The 14,341-nt window shown below is 36.6% G+C and overlaps 1 protein-coding gene across 9 annotated transcripts in view; it reads right to left on the bottom strand.

Moving 5' to 3' along the window:
• The window catches only part of GPD2 (glycerol-3-phosphate dehydrogenase 2), a 186,123-nt gene that overhangs the window by 82,261 nt on the left and 89,521 nt on the right, over window positions 1-14,341 (bottom strand). For 8 of the 9 annotated variants that reach the window (XM_047443963.1, XM_011510977.3, NM_001083112.3 and 5 more), the window contains exon 3: window positions 7,928-8,099. In XM_047443963.1, coding sequence (XP_047299919.1) covers window positions 7,928-8,099 — 172 coding nt within the window. Of the gene's footprint in view, window positions 1-7,927; window positions 8,100-8,451; window positions 8,582-8,769; window positions 11,674-14,341 lie in introns of those variants that run through there. The other variant, XM_047443965.1, reaches the window with a different exon arrangement.

Here is a 14,341-nt window from a genome sequence, read left to right as displayed (position 1 = left end):
ATATTGAGTTGGTTATTTATTTCTATGTTTATATTAGAAAACAGATATATTAGAAAACAGATTAATAGAGATATGATGTTGTTAGAACACATCATTAACATACTTTAATGTTTGTTAAGTACACACATGATTATGGAGTCACAAAACTGTACTAGGCTGTAACAATTGCAATAACACAATTTTGAGGAATAAGGGAGTTGCTGCTGTTGCGTTTTATTTTTACTTTGGTATTATCAAACATACCCAATGTTCAAAGAGAGGAAGAATATCCAAATAATATAGAAAGGCAAAAAAAGATAATGATGTAAAAAACTATACTAATGGCCTCCTGGTTTCCTAGTTACAAAATCCACAGGTAAACAATGTTAACTATTAAAACTGTCTTATATATTTTATCAGAAACTTTTTTATGCTTACTAAAGAACACTATCTGATACCATCTCGCTTTAAAAACAAATAAAAATTAGCACTCATTCTTCACAACTTGCTTTTTTAAAATTTGTAACACATCTTAGCCATTTTCCCTGTAAATACTTATACATCTATCTCTTTTCAATAACTGAATATCCAATTTATTAAGCCAGACTCCAATTTTTTGCCATTATAAATATTGTTATAAATAAAATTCTGACCCGTATGACATTGTAAGCTCAGCTTTGAACTCTTCTTCTTCTTAAAAACACAGAAAATTATATATGCATATATTTTAAAGGACATAATTGACTCAAAAATAAGATTAAAACTCAATGGACTTGAAATGTAACAGAAACTCAGAGCAGAATGTTTAGACCAAAAGCTTCTCTCTTGCTAGGTTCAAGGTCTAAAAATGGGCAAAGGCAATCAAGATCTCAGTTCCAAAAGGGTAAGAGGAATATAAATATCCATTACAAGGAAAGGTAAAAAAGCCAGAGGAGCATTTGATTGCTGGGACTGAAGAAAGTCTCTGCCTCTTGTGCAAGGAGGTTGACAAGCTTCTCTTGACCACTCTCTGGGCCCAGGAAGCAGAAAGACAGACACAGCCTTGGCACCAGCACCACAGCCAAGGCACCACTTGTCTCAGCAGCTAGTCTGCAAGGTCCCCAAAATCAACAAGGGCAGGAGTCTTTTGGTTCCAAGAAAAGTCTCTCATGGTCATTACTATACTTACAGAGTTGAGGGTATGGAAAAAGAGCATGAAACAAAACTGATCTAATAAGGGCAGAAAAGGGGGAAAAGAAGCAAAATAAAAAGCATGAAAGATTAAAAAAAATACAAAGCAAATGCACATGGAATAAAAAAAATGTAAATGGATTCCATTTACTGATTAAAAGACATAGTCTATTAAGTGTAAAAAGAAATAAAACAAATAAATATAATCTAGCTATATACTATTTATCACAGATATAACATAACAAAAGGATTTAGAAAAGTGCAGAATGGCCAGGCACAGAGGCTCCTGCCTGTAATCCCAACACTTTGGGAGGCCAAGGTGGGAGAACCACTTGATCTCAGGAGTTCTAGACCAGCCTGGCAATGCAGCAAGACCTCATCTCTACAAAAAATTTAAAAACTCATCAGGCCTGGTGGCACACACTTTTAGATCCAGCTACTCAGGAGGCTGAGGTGGTAGGGTCTCTTGAACCCAGGAGGTTGAGTCTGCAGTGAGCTATGATGGAGCCACTGCACTCCAGCCTGGGTAATAGAGTGAGACTCTGTCTCCAAAAACAAAACAAAACAAAACTTGAAATAAAAACCTGAGATAAACCCTGTCTGTTTGCTATTTTGTAAATATTTCCCAAATTTCACCTTTTTGCTTTTACATCTTTTGCCATGGATACATTTTAATTTTTATAAAATCAAAAGCAGGCTTTTCCTTTATGGCTTTTTGCTGTCATACTTAAAAACACCTTTCCTACCCAATTTTTAAAAAAAATTTACATATACCTGCTTCTAATAGTTTTATGATGTTTTAAAGTTACATCCTTGATTCACATGGAATATGATAAAACAGAATATATATGCATGCATACATACACAGACACACACACACACACACACATGCATATATATAAATCGGGGGGAGTGGATACCCCAACATCATTTATTAAGTAACTAATGATGACAGTTTTGAAATGCTGCCTTTACCATATTCTAAACTTCATGTATTTAAAGACTGATAGACTAATTTATAGACTCCATGACTGATTCTCTGTTCCTTTACCAGATTATTTTAATTACAGTAGTTTTAGAATACACTTTAGTATCTGATAGGTCTCTACTTCCCTTATCAGTAGTCTTTTTCAAAATCAGTCTAGTAAATCTCACAGGCGTAGTTCTCTTCTTAAAGTTTTACAGTTTCTTAAGTCGATTCCGCTGACCCTGGCCAAAGGAAAGCACTACATTAATTAAAATTATGTTAAATCTCCAGATTAATTTTAAGAGAAATTTGCAATCTAGTCTAATTAGCTGTGTCCAGCAAAGAGCAAACTTTTACTTCCTGCAATTCTACCTTCTGAAGTAGAATTTTCTCCTACCTTCATGGTGGATGGGTGGAGACCATAATTCTCAGAATGCACTATCTCCAAGGCTCTCCCTTTTCTGCATTTATCCTACAATGCACACATCTCCTTCCTTTCCCAAATGTTTATTTATAGAGAAGAATGTTATTATTATCCTCCATTTATGCCTGAGAAACTTAAGGCTCTCTGTAAGGTTAAGCCACTTGTCGAAGGTCACAGAGGTAGTAAGCAATGAAGCCAAGACATGACCCAAGTTCATTCTAATTCCATAATATGTGTCCTTAATCACTGCGCTATACTGCCTTAGGAATTATAGTGGGAATTCAAGAATTGCTAGCCAAATACCATTTATAAAAGTCTCCATTTGTAAACAAGAGAACTACAATTAATATTTTCCTCCAGAAAGAGGCAGTCTTCTCTGGAATTTGAACTGAAGACATAAAGGTTAAATTTTATACATCAGATCTTATTTTATTTTCTACAGGCCCACCAAGAATGCAAATACATCAGATTTTAAACCAAAAATGTACTAGATAATCCCAGATACATACAGGTAAAGTTACATAAAAGAACATAAAAAGCTAAAGAGAACACCTTGAAGAACCTGTGGGAGTGAATATATTTAACAGATTCTCCTTTTCCAGCTTCCTTTGGGAGCAAAGTGCCCACAACTGGGCTTTTGGGACATGCTTCTGTCCTAGAACGGGACACAGAGGTGTTAAAGAGTGAAGCAATTTCTATTGATCCTAGAGACCTGCAGGAGAACGTGAGGAGAAGTCTGCATATTGTGTTTATAAAATAATATTCCCAAATGAAACAAATGAAAATTGATTCCCAAGAAAATGCAGATGATAAGAATGCAAATAAATGTTCATTATGAAGACTCCATGACTTTTTGTCTGTCCTCTATAGTCTTTGTTTATCCATTACTAAAATTGCATTTGGGCACAGTATTTTATCAAAAAGCTCATGCAAACATTTTTGTACAAGTCCTTTAACATCTAGTGGTTCCCCCCAAAACTTTGATGTCCTGAAAAATCTAATTATTACTGGTAACTTTAAAAGATCACAGTAATTTATTTTTGTCAAATGTGACTAAAGATTAATGGATACAATCAGGAATAATTTGGTAAAAACATATCAAATGCAGAGAAAGCAAAATTTGTTGTTAAGTGAAGCATCAAATATGATAAAAGAGCAAATTCCATGAATGAACAGCAACAATGCACAATTCATTAACCAAATGCCCATGATTATTTCACACTTCAGAGGGCCACTGATATGATCAGGAATTGTAGTAAAAGGATAAATATAGATTACCTTCAGCCATCTCTTTATAAATTTTAATTATAAATGCTACTCCCAGAGGGCTACCAGCATAATAAGAGAAATACAAGCTAAAGTTTGCCCATCCTTTTTATAAATCATAATTCCACATATATAAAATAAGACAGGCAATTATTTTAAGACCACAATTAATATGCCAAGATATATTAAAAATACATCGTTTTCTTAGCTACTGTTAACTGTAAAAATTAAAAACCTGATCAACTTTCAGGCTCTGGAAACTCTTAACTATTCAAAATTGTCATCCTTATCATCACCACCACAACTATCATCACCCACAATCATCTGCTAATATACTAGCTAATACCTTGATCACTACAGAATGCCCTTCACTGCCAGAAGAAAAAGTTTATTTGTTCAATAAATAGTAATAAACTGCTAAGTTGTTCCTTGAAATCAAGGCCACATCTTACTAGTCTTACTATTCTCAGAGCTGGTTCAGAACTTGATTGACAAATAGCATTGTTTTAAATAGAAAAAAAAAAAACCACCCAAAAACAACCTAAAGAATAATTAATAAGAACATCATTGCAATGAGTTTTTCCATAAAGTTATTAAATGAAAATAAATAAAATGGAATTTTCCCATTAAAAATCATGAATACTATATAAATGTAAAGATTGATATAAACACACTACTATTTGAAAGAAACACACTGCAAAAAAGAAATACAATCTTGTCTATTTTTTTAAAAACTATAAATATACAAAGTGCACAAAGGCAAATATAGTAAGACTTTTCAGAAGGTGAAAAAGAATAAAAGTCACTTAGTGATTGCCTTATTATTACTGCACTTGAAGTCTTGCAATCTGACCTTTAACTCTTCCAGGGAAGCCTGGCTTTGTAACTTCATGACCCCTTATCAGCTCCAGGCCTACATTTCAACAATTTCCTCTGTTTTCATAGAATCTTGTCTCATTTTTTCTTTTCATCATTGATATCCACTCAGTTCTCAACTCCAGATTCTATGTGACTTTCTATTTTCTGTACCTCTACTCTCAGTAATACTGGACACACAAACACACACATATATACACACATAAATGTCTCATGTGGATAATAAATTAAAATTTTCTAACAGCAAAGAAACCCCTATTTTCCTGTCACATTCTCTGCAATGACATCCCTTACTCCCACCCATAAGTAGAACATCTCACCTCGTATTTGTTTAAGAGTAGCTCTTCATACTCACACAAACTCTTTATGTCTTAGAATTTACCCTTTGTTTCTATCCCTGAGAAACAAGTCTCTTACCTTCCTGCTAAAACCAAGATACATCTCTGATATCTCTTTCCTTGTATTTTCACAAGACCTTGTTCCTTATGTTTGCCTTCTACTATTAGGTTGGTACATGACATTTAAAAGTAATGACAACCTAATACTTGCATATTAAGGTTCTTCTCCCCTAGCACTGACTTTTCTCCCCTGAGTCTACAGAAATATTCAGATTACTCTTATCTTTATAAAAAGAAAAAAGGAAAAAAATCCGTGAAACATACTGTCTCCCTTCTTTATATCCTACCACACCATCAAGTTACCTCCTTTCTATTTTCTTTTTCTCCACATCTCTTGAAAGCCTATGCTTATGACTGTTCCTTCAGTATCGTGTATCCATTCCCCATCACCAAACCTAAGGCAGTATCTCCAAGTGATCTATTCAATAAAGCCCAAAGGCTTTCCCCTAGCATACCAGACCCAGCCCTGCCTTTCCACTCTTCTCTCATGTGTTCTCTCATATATAGCCTCAATGCTCCAAATTACAACACATGCTGTCTCCCACATACACTGATTCCACGCTGTTCCTCCTGCACATTTTCTCAGACTGGAACACTTTGAGCAAGCAATGTTTGCCTATTAAAATGTTACCTATGCCAAACAGCATAAGTAAAGTTTCCCACTCCTGACCATTCTATGTAGATATGACTACCCTCATGTTTCAGTGTCCGTAATGGCCCTGAGCCTTTTAAAAGGCTCACATATTCTCTATCATGTAATGTGGTCTGTGCAAACAAGCACTATAGAACTGTGGGCACACTAACGGTACCAACTCTATCATCTTTGTATGCTCATTGTAGCACCTTGCATATCGCCATGCAGACAGCAGGCACTCAGCATATATTTGTAAAACTAAAATAAAAAGAATGGCTACATATTTTAGTGCATAGCATGAAAATGCCTGCAGATACCAAGAAATACACTTTCCTGAATCCTACTGGGGAAATGATCCTCTTTGATATACAAAATTATCACCTAGTAAATTCTAATTTCTTGGAGGGGTAGTTCCAAACAAGACCTCCCATTATGTTGGGAATGTGTCCCCTCTTTCCACCTTCTTTCCCAGGCCTTCAAGGGGAAAAAAGCTGAATTCAAATTATCTATTCTCAAAAACTATTCTCAAACTGTTCTTCCTTTAGGCCTTAGTGTATCAAGGTTAATCTGGCTCAAATTATATTTCATGGTTGGAGACAGAAAATTTTATGAAAATTGGGGTCAACTTTGTAACAGAGTAGACTTCCTGTGCCTGTATTTTGAACTTGCCATTATTTAGCATTGACAAAAACAACTTAGGCTGTGAGGTCTGCATGGACCAAAACCTGAGTGTGGATCCTGTGAAATCAGTCATCTAGGGTACTTTTGTGTGTGTGTGTGTAGACCTCATTAAATTCATTTCATTTCCATAAGAGTAGATTCTGCCAGGTACATAAAGTAACTAAATCAAGAGTGGCTGCAGTAGTAATTTAATTGATCTGAGAAGAATTATTCCATCTAATAAATCATTCCCATTCAGTGTTAAAATATAATAAATATTGAACTTTATATAGCAACCAAAATATTCCACAGTCAAAATTCCTTGCAGCAGTATCCTACCCAATTCGAGACATCTGAGGATACCACAGTGGAGTCCTTCTCCAAGACAATTGGTTCTGAAAGTCTTTTACATTCATGTTAGTAATAGTAGCTATAATACTATCTATAATTTACTGAGCTGCTACTTTGTGTGACAAGCACCGTTCTAAGTCTCTTCATGATTAACATGTAACTCTCACAACAATCATTCAGAGAAGGTATTTTTTCCTCATTTGAAAGACAAGGAACCTTAGACAAATTAAGTGCTTTGCCCCCCGTCCACCAACACATACACATCTGTTAAAGAAGTTAAGCCAGGATAAGTACCCAGATTTCCCTGACTCCAAATTCCACGCTAATACCCACAGCCAAAACAAACATAGTATTTTATTAAACACAACATATCCAAGAGCATTGGTGTTCTATACTAAAATTTCTTTCATTACATGTCTCGTTTCCATTTTCATCATGCCTTTCCACTAATAGACAGAATGACTGAGACAGAACTATAGATTAGTGATATTTTCCATTATTTATTCGCATGAACTAAAGTTTCGCAAACTGCAGTCCATATTTCACTGAAGAGATGATTTTAAGAGATACATGAACAAAGATAATTATTTTAATAAATTACTTCAGCTTAATAAATTTTTCTACCATTGACTGATATGTGATTTCAAGTGATATAAAAATGTTTTTATTTTATATAAATATAAATATGTGCTTTAAAAAAAACCAGAACAAATTAATAAACTCATAAAATATAAACTCATAAAATATAGTTTTCTTTTTAAACAAATTCATTGAAGTGAAATGAGTTATATTTCATTTTAAAGTTGTGCAGTGCCTATATTTCAAAAACTGTGAAGGTGCTTCATTAAGGATGGAAAATCTGGAAACAAGAGAGAAATGTGTCCTCACTACTATAGACTGCATATTGTGTATTTACTGGGAGAAAGGATGAAGTGTTATCCACATCAAGACTTACCTCTGAGCTGAACAATGGGAACACATGGACACATGGAGGGGAACAACACACACTGGGGCCTTTGGGGTGGGGCAGGGGGAGGGAGAGCATCAGGATAAATAGCTAATGCATGCTGAGCTTGTACCTAGGTGATGGGTTGATAGGTGCAGCAAACCACCATGGCACACACTTACCTATGTAACAAACCTGCACATCCTGCACATGTACCCCAGAACTTAAAATTAAAATAAAAAAAAAAAAGACTTACCTCTGGTGACAGCATCTAGCGCACAGCCACTTCCTGTTGCTCCTCCTCCAATAACAAGGATATCAAATTCAGATGTGTTTTGCAAAGTCAGTAGCTGAGCTTCTCTGGAAGGAGGCTCCCTGTTAACTGGTTCTGAAATGCAGTCTGCTGCTTTAACATAGGCCAGGTTCATCTGATGTAAAAGCAGATCACTTTCAGTTGTCCATTTGGAATGTCAATTTAACAAATTTTACAATATACTAAAAGGAAATTTCTAATAGAAATAAGGAATATAAGAGCTAAAGAGAGTCCACAGTCCACATAGAGTTATAGGACCAACTGCCTTGGGGGAAAACAATCCTTACATTTCTCGGTGTATTTCTTTTCATGAATCACAACTATTTAGCCATAGGACACCTGGTTTCAGATTCAATGTCTCAACTGCTTCATATACAGCCAAGTTCAATTATTCACAACACTGTATAGCAATTCCCAAATACCTTATCTAAGGCAATTTATAAGGGAACATAAGGAGATTTTTTTACCCAGTACTAGCAATTCATTCAGATGACATATTAAAGTGGTGAAGGAGGAGGAAAAAGGACTTCATGTCTTTCCACACTTTCTCAGAAGTATACATTCTTCATTCCTCAGTTCTCCTGACAAAACTATATTCTAGAGTTTGGGGGTACATAAGTTAAAGTCAGTACAATTAAAAAGAATTTATTTAACAGAAGGTACTAAATAATGAGCTATGTTTAATGAGAATTATATTTTTCAGAAAAATTTAGTCAAAGACTTCCATACTAAATATTTTAATATAAAACCATAGATTCTATACATTGAAAGTAATATAAATATACCATTACAGTTTGTTGGATTTTTTTGATATGGGGCTTCATTCTGTTGCCCAGCCTGGGGTGCGGTGGCACTATCACAGCTTACTGCAACCTCATCCTCCCCACGTTCAGGTGAATCTGCCACCTCAGCCTACAGAGTAGCTGGGACTACAGGTGTGCGCCACCAAGCCTGGCTGATTTTCGTATTTTTTGAAGAGATGGGGTTTCACCATGTTGCCCAGCGTGGTCTCGAACTCCTAGAATCAATCAAGCAATCCATCTGCCTCGGCCTTCCAAACTGCTGAGATTACAGGCATGAGCCACTGCACCCAGCCCATTATTACAGTTTTTATGAAACTTCAACAATAATATAATTAAAGGCCCTGACATAGTCCTCCTAAAAAATAATGACCTTCCATATTTCTAGTTTCTTAAAGAATGTAGCTTTTCATCCTAAATAAAAAATGATCCTGGACTTTAAAAATAAGTAGTTGCCAGAAGGCAGAGTCAGAAACCCAGGAAAATGGTGTTTGGTTTTTTTCCAAAATGCTAATACTAGGTTTGTTCACTATAGCAAACAGTACTGGCCAGCATTGCTCTATTAGTATTCCACAGATATGTGACTTCCATTTTCTTTTCTTCAAATCACAGCATCATTGCAATCCATGATGGTGGTGTTTTTCCCATTCTGCTGCAGGAGCCCCATTTGAAGCTCTAGGCCAACAGGCCAAAGCATGTGCAAGAGGAGGTAATCTCAGGCGTTACCAAGAGATTATCCTAATCACCCAAAATAAGTGATTTTTTAAATTCATTCAAATAAAGGAAACCCACTTACCCCCTGCAGTTGCATTTAATTATTATCAGGCCAATTGGATTTCTATGAAAGTAAATCTAGAAGCCATTGGGTAAACTGAAAGAAACCCACATTAGGATCAGAAGATCCCAGCCTGGGATTTAGCACCTGGTTACCAGCAATGTAACTGTTGACTCATTATCTCTGGTTTCTTCACTTGTAAAATGGTGACAAAAATCCCTGTGATTTCTCCTTGTATCTTTGGATTATCCTCAGTCTGAATGGAATAATAATCTGAAAGTCACTGGTAAATGACAAAGTAACCACCAGAGTTGTTGCTGTTATCACTCTGTTAAATAATTTGATCTTTTAGTCACATATGATTAGGAACTTTCAAAACATGTTTTACTAAATTTCATAAAAACAAAAACTTATTATCAGGCTACAAATTCTGACACCAAACCACAAAAATCTTATTTTTCATATAGCTTCTTTTAATTATCTGCTAATAACCATGTCCCTATTTTTTACCTTTATATACATTTAGTTTGTTAACTAAATAAATGTAACCAGTAGGTACTACAGAGAACATTAACATATTTCAATTATGGTCTTTGCCTTCCATCTAATGAGGAAAAAAATTATACACACACACACACACACACACACACACACACATACATATATATAACAAGTACATAGAAAGAATAAATGCCACCCTAGAGGGAAAAAAACACCAGGCTATGGCCATTCAGATGAGGGAGGGAGAGTCTTTCATTTGAGGGTTTCAATTGCGCCAGGACAGATGGGTAGGACTTGGACATGAGACTGACAAGTGACTAAACCGCCAGAGCATTTTCACACATCAGAAAGATTGCTGACATTTTCTGCTTGGTAAGTTTTCGAGAAATACTTGAGAAATAAGTTTAAAGACCATATTATGATATAGTTCATTAGAACTTGGTAATACTAAAAGTCCTCTATTCTACTCTAACTGTGAACATTAATCTTGACTGAGTTTTCCCTTCATCAAGTTTGCTGGATCTGAAAGGCATCACTAGTGTGTGAGGATCTCATTCCATTAACAACAGTTTCTCCTATATTCACTCCCTCCCTTGTCCTTCTCATCACCAAGCTCTAACCTATCTCAGTCTCAACAATAATAAACACCTCTTACATGTATCTCTAACAACTATCCTAAAAATTCCCGATAGACCTGTAAATCTTGTTTTTTTTCTACTGCCTCACTCCTTACTCCTCACACTCACCCTAATTTGAATTTTCACATACATCCAACCACTACCAACAACCACAAAACTGACTAAATGCCAACTATGCCACCAAATCCAATAAATGCACAAATGATTGTTCACTCACCTGGGCATCTGGGGGACAACTCTCTCTCTCTCCAGCCTCTTTGAACCACTCTCTCTTAGCTTCCTTTGTGAGTCACTCTACTGCCCAAAATTAAACACCAAATTTCCTCTTAGGTCTATCCAATTCACTCTCCTCAAATCACTAAACTCAACAGACAGTAAGAGAGAGAGAGAAAATCTTATGTACCCCATATCATCAAATATCCTTTATACCACAATAATTTCTAATTTTGTTCCACCATTCAGGAACCCAGATCTCACACTGCCTACTTGAGACCTCCATTTGGATGTCTTACATATATCTCAAAATTGACCCAATTACTTTATCTTCTCAAACCTTTTTCTCTGTCAATGTTCCTCATCTCAGTAAGGGTGTCATTATAAATGTAGTTGCTGGTGCCAGAAATGTGGAAACAACCTTGAGAGCTCCCCGTCTCTTAAGTCCTATATCTGCTCAATCACTGAGTTTATCAGTTCCATCTTCTAAAACATTTCCATATCTAGTCACTTCATCTCCACTGCTACCTCTCAAATCAAGGTATCTTCCCTCTCCCCTATACTAACATGATATTCTCCCAAAGGCCTTCACACATTTACCCAGCCTCCTTCCATATCATTTTCTATATTACAACCGGAGTGATCATTTAAAAACCCAAATAATGTCATTTCCATGTATAAAACCCTTCAAGAGCTTCCAACTGAATATAGCTTTATTCAGGTTTCCAAGAATCTTCATGGTCTTTTACAATGGTTAAAATTTAAAAAAAAGAAAAAAAAAAAAAAAGGCCAGGTGCAGTGGCTCACTCCCAGCACTTTGGGAGACCAAAGCAGGAGGATCACCTGAGGTCAGGAGTTCAAGATCAGCCTGGCCAATGTGTCAAAACCCATCTCTACTAAAAATACAAAAATTAGCCGGGCATGGTGGCACACGCCTATAGTTCCAGCTACTCAGGAGGCTGAGATAGGAGAATCTCTTGAATCCAGGAGAAGGAGGCTGCAGTGAGCCGAGATCACACCACTGCACTCCAGCCTAGGTGACAGAGGATATTCTGTCTCAAAAAAAAAAAAAAAAAAAAAAAAAGGTAGGGAGGGAATACCAAGTGGTGGTGAGAATGCAACACAATTGAAACTCTCTTACACTGCTTACAGAAATGCAAAATTATACAGCTATTTTGGAAAACAGTTTGGGAGTGTCTTTTTTTTTTTTTTTAGATGGAGTCTCACTCTGTCACTCAGGCTGGAGTGCAGTGGCACAATCTCGGCTCACTCCAACCTCTGTCACCCGGGTTCAAGCGATTCTCCTGCCTCAGCCTCCTGAGTAGCTGGGATTACAGGTGCCTGCCACCACGCCTGGCTAATTTTTATAGTTTTAGTAGTGACAGGTTTCACTATCTTGGCCAGGCTGGTCTTGAACTCCTGCCCTCGTGATCCACCAGCCTCGGGCTCCCAAAGTGCTGGGATTACAGGTGTGAGCCACCGTGCCTGGCCAGGAGTGTCTTATAAAGGTAAACACACACTACACAACCAAGCAATCCCTCTCCTGGATAGTTACCCAAAAGAAATGAAAATCTGTGTTCATACAGAAGCCTGTAGGCAAAAATTTACAATGGCTTTATTCATAATCGTCCTCAACTGGAAAAAAAAACTAAAACATCCTTTACCTGGTGAATGACTAAACAAACTGTGTAAGCAATGGAATAATAAACGGAAATAAAAGAGAACAAGCTACTGCTACACACAGCAACACGAATGAACTTCAAATGCAATATGCTAAATCAGGGGTCAGCAAATTATGGTCTTCAGCCCAAATCTGGCTGCTCCCTGTTGTTGTAAACAAAGTTTCACTGGAAGATAGCCACATCCAATCATTTATGTGTTGTCCATGACTATAATAGCAGAGCTGAATAGTTGCATCAGAGACTATATGGACTGCAAGCCTTAAACATTTACTCTCTGCCTCTTTACAGAAAAGTCTACTAATCCCTGTACTAAGCAAAAGAAGCCAGATTCAGAAGTCTACATACTACATGATTCCAGTGCTTCTGTTTATATCATGTTCTGTACAAGCAAAGCACAGAATCTGAAAACAGATCAGTGGTTGCCAGGGTCTGGGAATGGGGGTACAAGGACTGACTACAAAGGGCATGAAAGAATGGTGAGGCTGATAGGAATGTTCTACAGCTTGATCACAGTGCTCATTACATAACTGTATCAAAACTCATAGAATTGTAAATTATAAAGGGTAAATTTTATAAACTTATCAAAACTCATAGAATTGTAAATTATAAAGGGTAAATTTTACTGCACTTTATACTACAAATTATACCTCAATACACTTGACTTAACAAAAAATAAGTGAATTATGTAAAGAGCATTTATGTGCCAGACATTATTTTAAGGGTTTTGCTTTTTTTCTACTCATTTAATCCTCACAATAACTTTATGAGTTAGGTACTACTAAGATCTTCATTTTACAGAACTATCTGAGACATACAGAAGTTAAGCAATTGGTCCCTAAGTACACAGCGGGTTCATGGTAGAGCTGAAAACTGAACTTAGCCTGGCAACAGAGACTAGGTGTTACACTACTATACCACTCTGACACCACACATAATTTGAGAAAAAAATTTAAAAAGTAGACTGACTAGTTATAATAGAGTGAGATATGACCAGCTGCCAAATCTAGAAAGTAGTTTGTTTGGTATAGTTTTGTTTTGAAGGTTTTACTGAACAGTCCCTCCAAAATATTTTTTTAAAACATACAGCACTATTAAGGGTAATTTATTTACTTTCTGACACTACTTTTTAAAATAACATTTTATTTTTGTTTTTTTTTTTTTTCCATAAAAGCTGGGAAGTGTTGCAACTGAGAAGCTAAGTACCACGTTTATTTTAGAGGCAGTAAACACAGCCTAAGGCCCTACTTATAATTATGACAGGAAAAAGACTCATTTTGGCTTCATATGGTTTTGAGTCACAAAAACACATCTGCACTCTACCTTTCCTAGAATATGTTGATTGAGGGGAAATAAAAAGGAGAAAAGCAGCAAGAATAAAACAGGTAACAACACACTTTAAGACAAGAGGGCTTTGGGTTCCAAATCTTCCTAGACCTGCCCTCCCTTTGTTCACCCTCCTTTCTAAGGCAGTTTGATTACACAGGAATTTGGGATACAGATTTTATTGAAGGATTGATCTGGAGGTTCTAGGAGAAGCCTTGGAATGGCCATAGGCCCTATATTAACTGGGAGACCGAAACCCTGCGTCAGGGAGAGGGGGTAGTGGGAGGGAAGAAAGGAGGGGAGGGGAGAGAAGGAAGGAGGGTAGTGAAGGAAGGAGGGGAGGGGAGGGGAAGGAAGGAAGGAAGGGAGGGAAGAAGGAAGGGAGGGGAGGGGAGGAAACAGGAAAGAGGGAAGAGGGAGGGGAG

The sequence above is a fragment of the Homo sapiens genome, chromosome 2 (genome assembly GCF_000001405.40).
Source record: "Homo sapiens chromosome 2, GRCh38.p14 Primary Assembly".
Classification (NCBI taxonomy): domain Eukaryota; kingdom Metazoa; phylum Chordata; class Mammalia; order Primates; family Hominidae; genus Homo; species Homo sapiens.
This window is presented reverse-complemented; position numbering and strand designations above follow the sequence as displayed.